The sequence below is a fragment of the Homo sapiens genome, chromosome 3 (genome assembly GCF_000001405.40).
Source record: "Homo sapiens chromosome 3, GRCh38.p14 Primary Assembly".
NCBI classification, from domain to species: domain Eukaryota; kingdom Metazoa; phylum Chordata; class Mammalia; order Primates; family Hominidae; genus Homo; species Homo sapiens.
This window is the reverse complement of record NC_000003.12, coordinates 63,413,838-63,427,793: the sequence shown is the minus strand read 5'-3', so window position 1 is coordinate 63,427,793 and position 13,956 is coordinate 63,413,838. Positions and strand designations below refer to the sequence as shown.

Below are 13,956 nucleotides of genomic sequence, written 5' to 3'. Positions count from 1 at the left end.
ATGCAGGTTCTCAAGCCACATATCCAGAGGTTCTGATCCAGTAGATCTGGGTTTGAGCCCAAGAATCTCTGTATGCTCTGAGCTCCCCTCTAGGGGATTAATCAGAATCTACCAGTTTGGAGAACCACTGCCTTATTTCCACCCACTCCTCCATTGTGGAGGGAGACCAAAGGCCAAGAAGGGTTAAATACGAAGCTTCTGTCTCCTCAGAGACAACCAGTGGCTGAGCTGGGGCGTGAGGGCCCTGTCCTATGGATTTCTGAGCAGTGGTTCCATGTGGCTTACCTGAGCTATCCTGAGCTCATCAAAGGACAGAAATCTGCTGAGACCCTTGTTCTAAGTATGTACTTTTCTTCCCAAGGTCAGTCTCTCTCTCATCCTAGTTGATACATACTTTATACACTGGGGAAATGATTAATGTGAATACATTATTTATTCTTTACTGAGAACTTGTCCTTTGAGCTGTAACCAAAGTAACTGACTTTCAGACAAGTTGAAATATGCCAAGAAATGGTTTGTCTTGTATATCAATATATAGCTCAGTGTTGGCTTTCAAAAAAAAAAAAAGCAGTAAATAAAATCAAGGTAACAGATCCTTTTACATTTTATTGTCTCCTTGGGGCTTTGTAATACTTTTTTTTTTTTTTAAAGATAAAGAACATGCCATTTTATATAACTCATCCTTTCAAACAAGTAGCTTGAGACCGGTTGGTCTTCCAAGTTTGAATTTTAGGAGGACACTCTTCTGTCATGTCATTTCTTGAAGAAATGCAGCTGTCAGTATGGATATACCCAAGAAGCATATTTATTCTGGTAGAACTACAAGGCTCGACATAGTTTTAGAGTTATTTTAAAATTATTTTAAATTAATTTTGAAGTTGAATTTGAATGAAAGCAACTTAAATTCTTTGCTGAGACAAAAAAAGAAATTCTGTCACCAGAACTGCCCTGCAGTGGAAAAACTTTAGCTGTTTTTTTTTCTTTTAGTCTCTTTATTGATAGGCACAACAGCTTGAAGAAACCAAATGGACTGGATGCCAAAAGCAACTTTGTGACCCCCTATCAGAGGAAGTCAAGACTGGTGAGAAATTGGTGCAGACCAAAGGAGGTGACCTCTAGTTACTTTTGAATGATTAACATATCATTATCATACTAAAATCCCCTCTGCTAAGTGAAGATCACCGCCATTTTGTGTACATGCAATGTATGGAGAAGTATGTTCATGAATTGCACCTACCACTTGGAACTCCACCCTATACGTGCCTGCATACCTCCCCCTACATTCAACTCCTTAAAACTCCCATACCCCCCATTGCCTGGGAAGAGGTACTTTTAGATCATGAGCTCCCCTTCTTTGGCCACTGAATAAAACCTGATTGCCTTTCTAATTTGACATTCTTTCTTTGTGGCTGACATAAAGTAGGGAAAGAATGCAGGTTACTGGTGACAGTTCCAGCCCAAGTCAAATGTCTGCAGAGCCTTAAGCTTCATGTGCCTAATTAGTGAAAGTAATTTGTGGTACAATGATTAAAAGAATAACGTTTGAGAAGACAAGGGTTTGAATGCTTCCCCACTTACAGGCATATAACCTTGGAAAATCACTCAGCTTCTCTAAGCCTTATCATCTTCATCCACATAATGGGCATACTTATAGCAAACTTTTGTTGAACACTTATTATATGCTAGGACATTTTTAAAAGTGTATTTCTGGCGGGGCATTGTGGCTCATGCCCGTAATTCCAGCACTTTGGGAGGTCGAGGCGGGTGGATCACAAGGTCAGGAGTTCAAGACCAGCCGGGCCAATATAGTGAAACCCCATTTCTACTAAAAATGCAAAAAAAAATTAGCTGGGCGTGGTGGCGCATGCCTGTAATCCCAGCTACTCAGGAGGCTGAGGCAGGAGAATTACTTGAACCTGGGAGGCGGAGGTTGCAGTGAGCCGAGATTGTGCCACTGCACTCCAGCCTGGGTGACAGAGTAAGACTTCATCTTACTAAAAAAAAAAAAAAAAAGTCTATTTCCATAAGTTCATTTAATATTTATAATAATTCCATGAATAAGTGTTATTTTTATCCCTGTTTCACATATCTGAATACTGCGGTTCAGAGAGATTAAGTAACCTGCCTAAGGTCACACAGATAGTAATGGATGAAGCCTGAATTTGAACCTAGGCAGGCAGATCCCAGAGCCTAAGAATTCAATGAAAATAGTCCCTGCCAAGAGCTTGGAAGTGTGCTTATAATGAGAGCTCAAAAATGGTATCTTAATATTGTTATTGGAGAAGAGCACCTTGAATCTTATTCCTACATGAGGAGTTATCTCCTGGGACTGTAAACCACCTTCATATCATTGTTTACCATTAATCATTTGTAGCATGTATACCCATAATAACAAGTTAACCTATACCTCCCCTATCTCTTTTCAGTCTCTTTAAGTAATGTCTATTATTGTCTGAAAAACACAAAAACTATACAGAATAAAGTTTACTGTATACCACCAATCAGCTGACTACTCTTTGGGTGGAGAGTTTATCCTTACAGTGTTTTCTCTTTGCACATGAATATTTGCTCATTTCCCCCCAAAATGTGAATTACTCTATAGATAGAGTTTAATCCTGCTTTTCCTCCCTGATGTTTATATCGTGAGCATTTTTCCATCTCATGCACTGTTCTGTGAAAACAGGATTTTTGTGATGGCACAATATTTCATTTTAAAGATAAAATGGAGAGAGGTAAGGGCAGCAGGAAGACCACACTTTCCCCTCCTCCCTGCTAACAGGATGGATCTAATGTGATTGGGATTGGGCACATATGCTAGGAAGAAGGATCATTGTGCTAAAAAAATTTACACACAAGGGTTGTACTTTCTCTTCCTTAATTTAGTTGAGGAAAGATTACTGTCTTTGTCTGAAGCTTTTCCTTTCTGTCCTTCCCTCTCACTGAATAGTGGTGTAATGAAGATATTTTGGTCTGAACTTATGAAGAGTGGTAAGGAAAATTCACCTAAGAATAAAGAGAATAAAGTCCAGTAAACTTACTAATAGCTCCCCTCCCTCCAAAGTGCCCCATATTATCAAAGGGATTGTCGATATTGTGTACATTTTGGTGTGTGCTAACAGAGTGATTGCAAAGCGAAGCTTGTTTATTTTTTTTAATCCGGAAGGTTTAAAGATACTATGGTTTTCTTACCTAATAATCAAAACAAACACATTTGATATATATAATAATACAATAACTACAATAAAATGGAAATAATAAGTAATTGTTATTGAGCCTTTACTATGTGCTAAATGCTTTATGCATTCCTATTTAATGTCTCAATCATTCTCCAAGGTAGAGATTGTTCTCATTTTGCAAAAGAGGAAATGGAAGCTGAAGTAGTCTCAAAGGTGTTGTGGGCATGGGTGGAGGGGCCAGGATTTCAATATAGACTGGCCTACCTTCAAAATAGTATTTTCCTACATGACACCCCACCAAGATGTTTTCTTTGAACTATAGGTGATGATTTTTTCAAAAAAATAAGCTCTTCATTTTAAAATAGCTTCAGATTTACAGAAAAGTTGCAAGAATATAACAGAGAGTTTCCATATACCTTGCACCCAGCTTCCTTTATTTTCGACATTACTAGGGTACATTTGACACAATTAATGAACTAACATTGATATGTTATTACCAACTTAAGCTCATAATTTATTCTGAGTTTCTTAGTTTTTAACCTAATGTGCCTTTTCTGTTTTAGAATCTTACTCAAGATACCACATTACATTTATTCATGATGTCTCTTTAGACTGTTTCTCAGATTTTCCTTGTTTTTAATGACCTTGACATTTTGAAGAGAACTGGCAAAGTATTTTATAGAATGTCTCTCACTTTGGATTTTTCTGATGTTATTCTCATATTTAGACAAGGGTTATTTATAGGTGATAATTTAAAAACAAAATAAAGTGAAACTTTATGTAACTGCCAAACCAGCCCAAACTGGCCCTGGCCCTATTCTGCTGGTAACAGAATGTTGCATTGGCTTATAGGCATTAACAGAGCCAAGACTGCAAGTGATACAGCCTAGGCATGTGTAACAGAAACAGCTTTGACCTCTAACAACATCCAGAACCAATGATTCCTCCTCATGGAACCAAGAAGATGGGACATGACCAGAACCTGCTGCAATATGACCGCCGGCACTCTTTCAAAGCAAGGGGTCTGTTGGCCAGGAAGATCTGGGACTAAAATCTGCGTCAACATGCCTTACTGTAAATGGTCAAATTTGAAGACCTCCAACTGGACCTTGCCAAGCCAACATTTGTAAATCCTTTCTCTTGTCATCCAACCCCTTAATACTTGCCCCAGGCCCCAAGTGAGGGAGACTGATTTGAGTCCTTCTCCTGTCTCCTCGCTGGCCAGCCTTGTAACAAAGCCTTTCTTTTCTCAAAAGCTGGTGCCATAGTATTAGTTTCTATGTGTGTGGGGCAGGGAGTCCATTTGCTGTATAACAGTCGCTCAATATCCACCACCAGCATGAACAAACACTAATGTTTTCCATACTTGCTTCTGAATCCTTTAAATGAAAAAAATAGATGATGAAACTGAGCTCCCTTTTAGGTCTGTCTCCAATTTTATTCCCTTTTCTCCCAAAGTCATGAATGTGTATTTTTTCTCATCCATGTTGTTATGTACATGTGTTACCTATATTTTTCAATAAATAGCATGCAGCAATATTTTGCACTTTTATTCCATAGATGTTATCATAATGAACAATCGATCTGCAATGTGTTTTTCTAGACATTAGATTTTTAAGATCTATGTTGATATATAAAGACCACTTTATTCATTTTTAACTCCTGAATGGTGTTTCCTTTTATGAATATGTCATGCTTATTCATTTGTCTAATGATGGACATTTAAGTTGTTTTCAATTTTTGTTATTGCAACAATATACAATGAGTATCCTTGTATTTATTCTTGGTGGAAATGGGTGAGTTTCTCTGCAATATCTATATAGCAGTGAAATTTGGGGGTATTAAAAATATAGCCATATTCGTCTTTTTTTCTAGGTAGGACCAAAACCATCTGTAGTTTATACACTCCTGCCCCGGCACTGTGTTTCCATTATGTCCCATCATTGCTTATACTTGGTACTTTTAGACTTTCAATATTTTGCCAATCTGATGGGTGAAAATGTTTTTATTTAATTTATGACTTTATTGAGGCATAACTGATGTATAACAAACTGCATATATTTAAAGGGTACAATTTGATGAATTTTAAGAAATGCTTATACCCATAAAACCAGCACCACAATTGAGATATTGAAGATTTCCGTCACCTCTAAGTTTCCTTGTGCCTCTTTGCAATTCATTTCTTTCTCAATTTTTTATTCACTCAATGCGCTGTAGACGTTGATCATCTTGTTCTTAAAATAGTATTTTTTTTTCATGTGTCTACATGATGGAACAATGAAAAAGGAAAACCAATTGACATTTCCATTGTATTAGGGAAAAGGTCCCATTTTAAAAAGAAGGGAGAACACATAGCAATGTAGAAAGTAGTTAAGAACACTGATAAAATGAGACTGCCTTATTTACATCTTTCCCTCCACTTCTGATCCTGGGTGTGGTAAACAGGAGATGGCCTCAAGTTTCCCACCCCTTGGTGTACAAACCCTGTGTAATTTCCTAACCTGAATGTGAGTGGAACCTGTAAAAATAATGATACAACACTCACTGATTAGCCTACATTATGTGGCAAAGGGGAAGAGTTCTTGCAATATGTAATGAATATCCCTAATCAGTTGACTTTAAGTTAATCAAAAGAGAGGCTATCCCAAATGGGCCTGATATAATATATGAGCTCTTTAAAAGAGGTTCTAAAAGTCAGAAACAGAAGCCACAAAGATTTGAAAAAGCAGGCAAGCTGTCCTGGTAGCCTGGAAGAACCAAACTGCCATGTGTGAAGAGGGCCCTGTGGCAGAGAAGGGCAGGGCCTGTAGGAGTGTGGGGCCTCAGTCCTCCAGCTGTAAAGAACTGAATCCTGCCAACAACCAAAGAGCTTGCAAGAGGACCTAAAGCCTCAGATGAGATTGCAGCCCTGATTTCAGTCTGAGCAGAGTGCCTGGGTAACTCTTGCCCCATGGAAACTAGGAGAAAATAAATGTGCGTTGTTTTAAGTCTCTAAGCTCAAGGTAATTTAATATGCAACAATTGGAAATGAATATACAAGGCAACAACTGATCTGTTTTCTTTTAATATAGATTAATTTTCATTTTTTAGATTTTTTAAACAAATGAAATAATATTATATATATATATTTAGTCTGAATTTTCTCACTCAGCATAATGATTTTTGAGATTCATCCATCTTTTTGTTTATCAGAGCTTAGGTTTTTTTTTTCAGTGTATGGATATACTATATTTTGTCTATATATTTATCTTTTAATTAACAGTTGGTGGTTTCCAGTTTTTTGGCTATTACAAATAAAATTGCAAATCTTTGTGTGGATGTATGTTTTTATTTCTCTTATTTTAATTTGACGTTTCCTGATTACTAGTAAAGTTAATTATCTTTTCATATTGTGTTATCTACCTGAGCATCCTCTCTTGTGAATTGCCTATTAGAAGCTGGGCATAGTGGCTCATGCCTGTAATCCCGGCAATTTCGGAGGCCAAAACCGGGGAATCACTTGAGCCCAGGAGTTTAAGACCATTCCTGGGCAACATAGGGAGACTCCATCTCTACAAGAAAATTTAAAAATTAGCTGGGCATGGTGGTATGTGCCTGTAGTTACAGCTAGTTGGAAGGCTGAGGTGGAAAGATTGCTTGAGCCTGGGAGGTTGAGGCTGCAGTGAGCCATGATCACGCCACTGCACTCCAGCCTGGGAGGCAGCAAGACCGTGACTCAAAAAATTAATTAATTAAATTAAAAAATTGCTTCTTAGTATCTTCTGCCCATTTTTCTATTTGTATTTTTTCTCACTGATTTATAAGTTCTTTAAACATTCTGAATACAACTCCTTTGCCCATTATAAATGTTGAAAGTATCTTTTCCCAGTTGACTATTGTCTTTGTTTGATATCCTTCGTCATATAAAAATTTAAAATAAAGCCTAACTTTATCTTTAAAAAAATAACATTTGCTTTTATTACTTGTTTTAAGAAATTCCTCCTAGATCTGAAATTATAAAGATATTTTCCATTTTTAAAACTATAGTTTCAGAGTTTTGTTTTTCACAATTAGGTCTTTAATTCTTTGGAGTTTATTTTTGCATAAGGGAAGGTAGGAATACAATTTTTTTTCTATAAAGAAAGATAATTTCTCAGGTCTACATATCAAGTAGTTCATTTTTGCACTGATTTGCAGTTTCAGATACAGCAATTTCCATATATGCATTTATCTATTTTCCAGCTTTTTGTTCTGATGCACTTGTGTATTTGATTACTGCTATACCAATACCTTGCTGTTTTAATTATAATATCCTTGCTATAAGCCTCATATATATTATAACATTGCCCTCTCTTTTGTCTTCTCTCTCAGAATTATCTCGGCCTTTCCTGTATTTTATGCCTTTAGATTAAGTTGAAAATAAATTTACCAGGATACCTGAAATATTTGGTACATTTTTAATTAAAATGTCATTGAATTTATAGACTAATTGGGGGAAAATTTGCATCTTTACAATATTGAATCTTCTCATCCATGATCATGTTATATCATGCCATTTTTCTTGTCTTCTTTTTCAATGCATAAATAACATTTTACATATGTTTCCTATAAAGATCTTGCACTCCCTTTGTTAGATTTACTACTAGGTAGATAAGGTCTGAACATTTTATGCAAACCATCATAGCTATTTCCCTATGAAAGTTATAATGTGAAAAAACTGGAATCTTCACCAAATAGACTACTTTCAACAAAGAAAATGAATATAGAACTAGTATTGCTTATGAGCTGATGTCTAAAATGATATGTTCTCTGTTCTGTGTTAAGAAAGAAGAGCCCTTTTTGATCCTTCACATGAGAGCTTCACATGCCTTTCATGGAAAATCACCTTCTGCAGTCTGTGCTTAAGATATCAATAGTCTCTAACTTCCCTGACCCACTTCATGGGGCAACTGCTACTCAGCTCCTGATCATATTGCAATTGGGAAATGTGGGGGACCATAGTTGCTAGATTTTTTAGTTTTTCAAGAAAAGCTGACAATCCAGATTTTTATATAAAATCTTCTTACCTTTAAATATTAGTAAATTAGAAAAAAAATAAAAAACTTTATATTTTGTGGGACAAACTAAGCAGGCCTTAGACCTGATAGGACATGAGGGCTGTCTGAGTTCAATCTTTGGGGTAGCTCTGTCACCAACAACTTCCAGTTCAGCTTCTTTCCCTTAGACCACAACCCTTTGCCCAAGAGGGACATGCTTTCCAACTCTAAGTATTTGGTATCACAGAGTGTGAGCTGTAAGGGATATTAGAGTTTGTCTGGTCCTAGTTCAGTTTTGATGGCTATAGCAGTTTTGAGGCTGGGGCAGGGAGGCAACTAGTCTGGCTTCACACAGTGACCTGAAGGCAAGGCCAGGCCTAGAACTCAGGTGGGCTGAGTCCACATCCAGGGGGCTTGCCATCACTTACACTGCCTGATTACTTTGCAAAGCCTTCAAGGAACAGGCTGTGACCCTTCCCATGATGTCTCAAATAAATAAGAGTTTGTTTGACAAGTGAGACACTATTAAGATACCGTTCTGTTTGAGGATGCCTATGGAGGAACTCTAGAAAAAGTGGAGAGAATGTACAGTCACATAAATGTTGCCCTCTAAGAGGAAGTTAAAAATTCATGAAAATTATTAAGACTCTATTAAACCAAATATTCTACTAATTCTTAGTAGCTCCTGGGCCTAAATTCTAAGCAGTTGTGACCAGACTTTCCAGATTAAAAGGTGGAAAGACTGAGTGATATGATTCAGCTGGGTCCCCACCCAAATCTTATCTAGAATTCCCACAAGTGGGAGGCACCTGGTGGGGGTAATTGAATCATGGGAGGAGGTCTTTACCATGCTGTTGTGATAGTGAATAAGTCTCACGAGATCTAATGGTTTTATAAGGGAGAGCTTGCCTGCAAAACTCTCTGCCTGCTGCCATGTTGTGTAAGACGTGGCTTGTTCCTCTTTGTTTTCCACCATAGTTGTGCGGCCTCCCCAGTCACGTGGAACTGTGAGTCCATTAAACCTCTTTTTCTTCATAAATTACCCAGTCTTGGGTATGTCTTTATCAGCAGTGTGAAAACAGAATAATACAGTAAATTAGTACTGGTAGAGAGGGGCGCTGCTGTAAAAATACCCAAAAATGTGGAAGCGACTTTGGAACTGGCTAACAGGCAGGGGTTGGAACAGTTTGGAGGGCTCAGAAGAACACAGGAAAATGTGGGACAGTTTGGAACTTCCTAGAGACTTGTTGAATGGCTTTGACCAAATTGCTGATAATGATAGGGACAATGAAATCTAGGCTGAGGTGGTCTCAGATGAAGATGAGGAACTTGTTAGGAACTGGAACAAAGGTGACTCTTGCTATGCTTTTTCAAAGAGACTGGTGGCATTTTGTCCCCACCCCAGAGATTTGTGGAACTTTGAACTTGAGAAAGATGATTTAGGAAGAAATTTCTAAGTGGCAAAGCATTCAAGAGGTGACTTGGATGCTGTTAAAGCCAGTCAGTTTCATAAGGGAAGCAGAGCATAAACGTTTGGAAAATTTGCAGCCTGACAATATGATAGAAAGAAAAATCCCATTTTCTGAGTAGAAATTCAAGCCAGCTGCAGAAATTTGCATAAGTAATGAGGAGCTGAATGTTAATCACCAAGACAGTGTAGAAAATGTCTCCAGAGTATGTCAGAGGGCTTCACAGCAGCCCCTCCCATCACAGGCCCGGAGGCCTTGGAGGAAAAAAGTGGTTTCATAGGCTGGGCCCTGGGTCCCTCTGCTGTGAGCAGTCTAGGAACTTGGTGCCCTGTGTCCCAGCCACCCCAGCCATGACTAAAAGGGGCCAAGGTAGAGTTCAGGCTGTGGCTTCAGAGGGTGCAAGCCCCAAGCCTTGGCAGCTTCCACATGGGGTTGAGCCTGCCAGTGCACAGAAGTCAAGAATTGGGGTTTGGAAACCTCCACCTAGATTTCAGAGGATGTATGGAAATGCCTGGATGTCCAGGAAAAAGCTTGCTGCAGGGGCAGGACCCTCATGGAGAAGTCTGCTAGGGAAGTGCAGAAGGGAAATGTAGGGTGGGAGCCCCCACACAGAGTCCCTACTAGGCCACTGCCTAGTGGAGCTGTGAGAAGAGGGCCACTGCCTTCCAAACCCCACAGTGGTAGATCCAATGACAGCTTGTACTGCATGCCTGGAAAAGCTGCAGACACTCATCACCAGCCCATGAAAGCAGCCAGGAGGGAGGCTGCACCCTGCAAAGCCACAGGGGCGGAGCTTCCCAAGACCATAGGAATCCACCTCTTGCAACAGTGTGACCTGGATGTGAGACATGGAGTCAAAGGAGGAGATCATTTTGGAGCTTTAAGATTTTACTGCCCTGCTGGATTTTAGACTTGCATGGGGCCTCTGGCCCCTTTCTTTGGGCCAGTTTATCCCATTTGGAATGGCTGTATTTACCCAATGCCTGTACCCCCACTGTATCTAGGAAGTAACCAATTTGATTTTGATTTTACAAGCTCATAAGTGGAAGGGACTGGCCTTGTCTCAGATGAGATTTTGGACTGTGGATTTTCGAGTTAATGCTGAAATGAGTTAAGCCTTTGGGGGACTGTTGGGAAGGCATGACTGGTTTTGAAATGTGAGGACATGAGATTTGGGAGAGGCCAGGAGTGGAATTAGATGGTTTGGCTGTGTCCCCACCTAAATCTCATCTTGAATTTCCGTGTGTTGTGGGAGGCACCTGGTGGGAGGTAATTGAATCATGGGGGCAGGTTTTTCCTGTGCTGTTCTTGTGATAGTGAATAAGTCTCATGAGATCTGATGGTTTTACAGGGGGGAATTTTCCTGCACAAGCTCTTTGCCTGCTGCCATCCACGTAAGATGTCACTTGCTCTTCCTTGTCTTCCACCATAATTTTGAGGCCTCCCCAGCCACGTGGAACTGTGACTCCATTAAACCTCTTTTTCTTTATAAATTACAGTCTTGGGTGTGTCTTTATTAGTAGCATGAAAACGGACTAATACACTGAGGAGCATAGCAATAACTTCTGTGTTTTTTTTTGGTTTTTTTTTTTTTTTTTTTTTAAGACAGAGTCTCACTCCGTCACCAAGGCTGGAGTACATTGGCACAATCTCAGCTCACTGAAACCTCCACGTCCCGGGTTCAAGCAATTCGCCCACCTCAGCCACCAGAATAGCTGGGACTACAGGCACGCACCACCACGCCTGGCTAATTTTTCTATTTCTTGGTAGAGGCAGGGTTTCACCATGTTGCCCAACCTAGTCTCAAGCTCCGAACCTCAGGTGATCCACCCTCCTTGGCCTCCCAAAGTGCTGGGATTACAGGCGTGAGCCAGAGTAGCCAGCCAAAGGCATTTTTGATCCAGATTCTGTGTATGGGTGTTTACATGTGACTGCACGTAAACACACACATATAAATAGAATGAAATACAATAAAATGCCAGCCTTCTTACTAAAAACAGTCTTGTGAACTGAAATGTAAAGTTCAGTGATTCAACAGAAGAGTCTCAGTCAAATTAAGTGTATCTTACTCCAACCAATTGGCTTCAGCTTATTTGAAAGATCATCAGTGGGTTGATGAATAAGTAGATGCCTTGTTTGTAATCATCTGTTGCTTTCTGAGAGTAACAGTATGGCTAAGTGAATCAGGCAACTTTAAAGTGCTTTAAAACCACACAACTTCATTTCACAACTGCCATTACATGATTGACCAAAGAGCATTCAGAGATGGAATTTTCCATTTAATATAACTGCAAAGTGATTCAAATTAGCTGTGTTGCAATTTGCTGCAGGGAAAGGGTATTACCTAGATCTAAATATTTATTACAATTATAATTTATTGATTAGAAGGACGCTTGCAGAACACAGACTTAATTATTTGTGTTTGCAACTTACACCACTGGTTGGAGAACTATGGCCTGTGGGCCAAGTAAGGCCCACCAGCTGTTTTTCTTGAATTTTTATTGGAAAACAGCCGCGTTGATTTGGTTACATATTGTCTATGGCTGCTTTTGTGCTACAATGGCTGAGTGGAGCAGTTGTGACAGGTTCTACAGGGCCCATGAAGCCTAATACATTTACTACCAGCCCTTTAAAGAAAAAAACTGTCACATATGATCTGTCACATATTTTTCTTTTCTTTTTTAAATAACCTTTAAAAACGTAAAAAAAAAAAAAATTCTTAATTCTCTGAGACAGGATTTGGCTTTTTGGGCCAAATTTTTGGCCAGATTTGCCAGTCTCTGGTCTAGACAATTAAAACAATAAAGCAAATTTTAATTTATGGCATTTGCCTATTTCCATGGTGTAAATGCTATCAGCATGATTGGTTTTGAGCTACCAGCATGCTGTTGTTGAATGCTGTGTTGTGAGGGGATGTATAGGAGCACACCATTTTATAGTATTTTAACCATAAAGATACGATATGCATAAAGAACTGCAAGAGCATAGATAACAGTAAAAAGTAGGAAAAGAATTCATAAATAATATATTTTCAGCATGTATGATTTTTTTGTTATAACTCATTCAATTTTAAGTTTATGTAATTTACTTTTTAATAGTGAACTTATTTAACAACTGGATCATAAAATCCTTGAAAATTTAACAGTGGGCTCTGGTGAGCCAGTAAAAGCCTGCAGTAGCACATTCCTGAGTTTAGAAAATTTTGCACTTTTAGAGATAAAACGAAAGTATACAAATGACCATACTGTAAGTTAGAAAGTGGTAAGATTCAAAATATACATATGTATATAAGGAGAAGACTTCAGCATAAACACATTGGCTGACTAACTTCATTATATGTGCAAATGATATTCATTGCAATTGGGATCTATATAGGCTGGAAAGCTTCAGTTTATATAGACAGTTGGTAATGAGACTTACATATTCTCCTCCTCCAAATAAATTTTCTTTTAGCTTTAAGAAAAATAGTCAGTAGCAGGTAGATTTGATCTTGACTGATTCAAAATATTTAGTGGAAAAAATTCCCTATCTTTTTGTTAGTGAAGGTTGTTTCTGAAAGTTTTTGCAATCAATCTGAATATTCACAATATTTCTGAATTGCAATAATGAAAAGACAAAGACAGGTTTGTTGCAGCATTGTTGACATCTCACTGTCACTGTTTTCATGCTGAAGAAGACACTTGGCCCATTTGTTGCAGGAAGTCCTATTTTACATTTCTACAAATTCAATACACTTGGAACCAAGGCTGAAGTGACACATTTGCAACCTAATAAAACTCCAAAAAGTAAGAAATCCATCAGATGTGCCCCTATTGTGTGTGAGGTTTTTTCAAAAGATATTTAATGTTTTACATTTGTAAGAAAAAAGCCCACAAAACTAATTACTGTCAACTACATTTTAAGTTTTCAGATATCTAGCCAGCAGAAAGCTGTTATTAAATCACTGTAAGCCTTTTTTGCCTTTCTTCCCACATAAGAATCATTATCTTATTCACAATATTGGCTTCAAAACAGAGGTTGTCAATCAAGATACCCAAGCTACTGCCTGAGAAAGAACAACCAGGGGCCTTTGTTTTTCAGATCTCTCCCTCTCTGTCTCTCTCTCTCTCTATATATATATATATGTATATATATTTATATATTTTTTTCCCTCTCCTCTTGGGGTTTCTTATACTCACACCCAACTGTTACTAAGAAAATAAATGGAGAAAGGCTCCTAATTTGAGGATACTTCAGCTCCTAGCTTCTAAAATATCATTTTTTTTGATAATGTTCAACTCCTCCATTATCCTTCTA

The 13,956-nt window shown here is 38.4% G+C and overlaps 1 protein-coding gene and 1 long non-coding RNA gene across 4 annotated transcripts in view; one reads left to right on the top strand and one right to left on the bottom strand.

Annotated features, from left to right (window-relative positions):
• Positions 1-4,198, top strand: part of SYNPR-AS1 (SYNPR antisense RNA 1) — a 126,456-nt gene extending 122,258 nt beyond the window's left edge. Inside the window, exons 3-5 of the long non-coding RNA NR_046677.1 lie at positions 211-361; positions 988-1,081; positions 4,029-4,198. This is a non-coding gene — a long non-coding RNA (SYNPR antisense RNA 1). The remainder of the gene's footprint in view (positions 1-210; positions 362-987; positions 1,082-4,028) is intronic.
• Positions 1-13,956, bottom strand: part of SYNPR (synaptoporin) — a 416,321-nt gene that overhangs the window by 189,131 nt on the left and 213,234 nt on the right. The gene's annotated exons all lie outside the window — the stretch shown is intronic.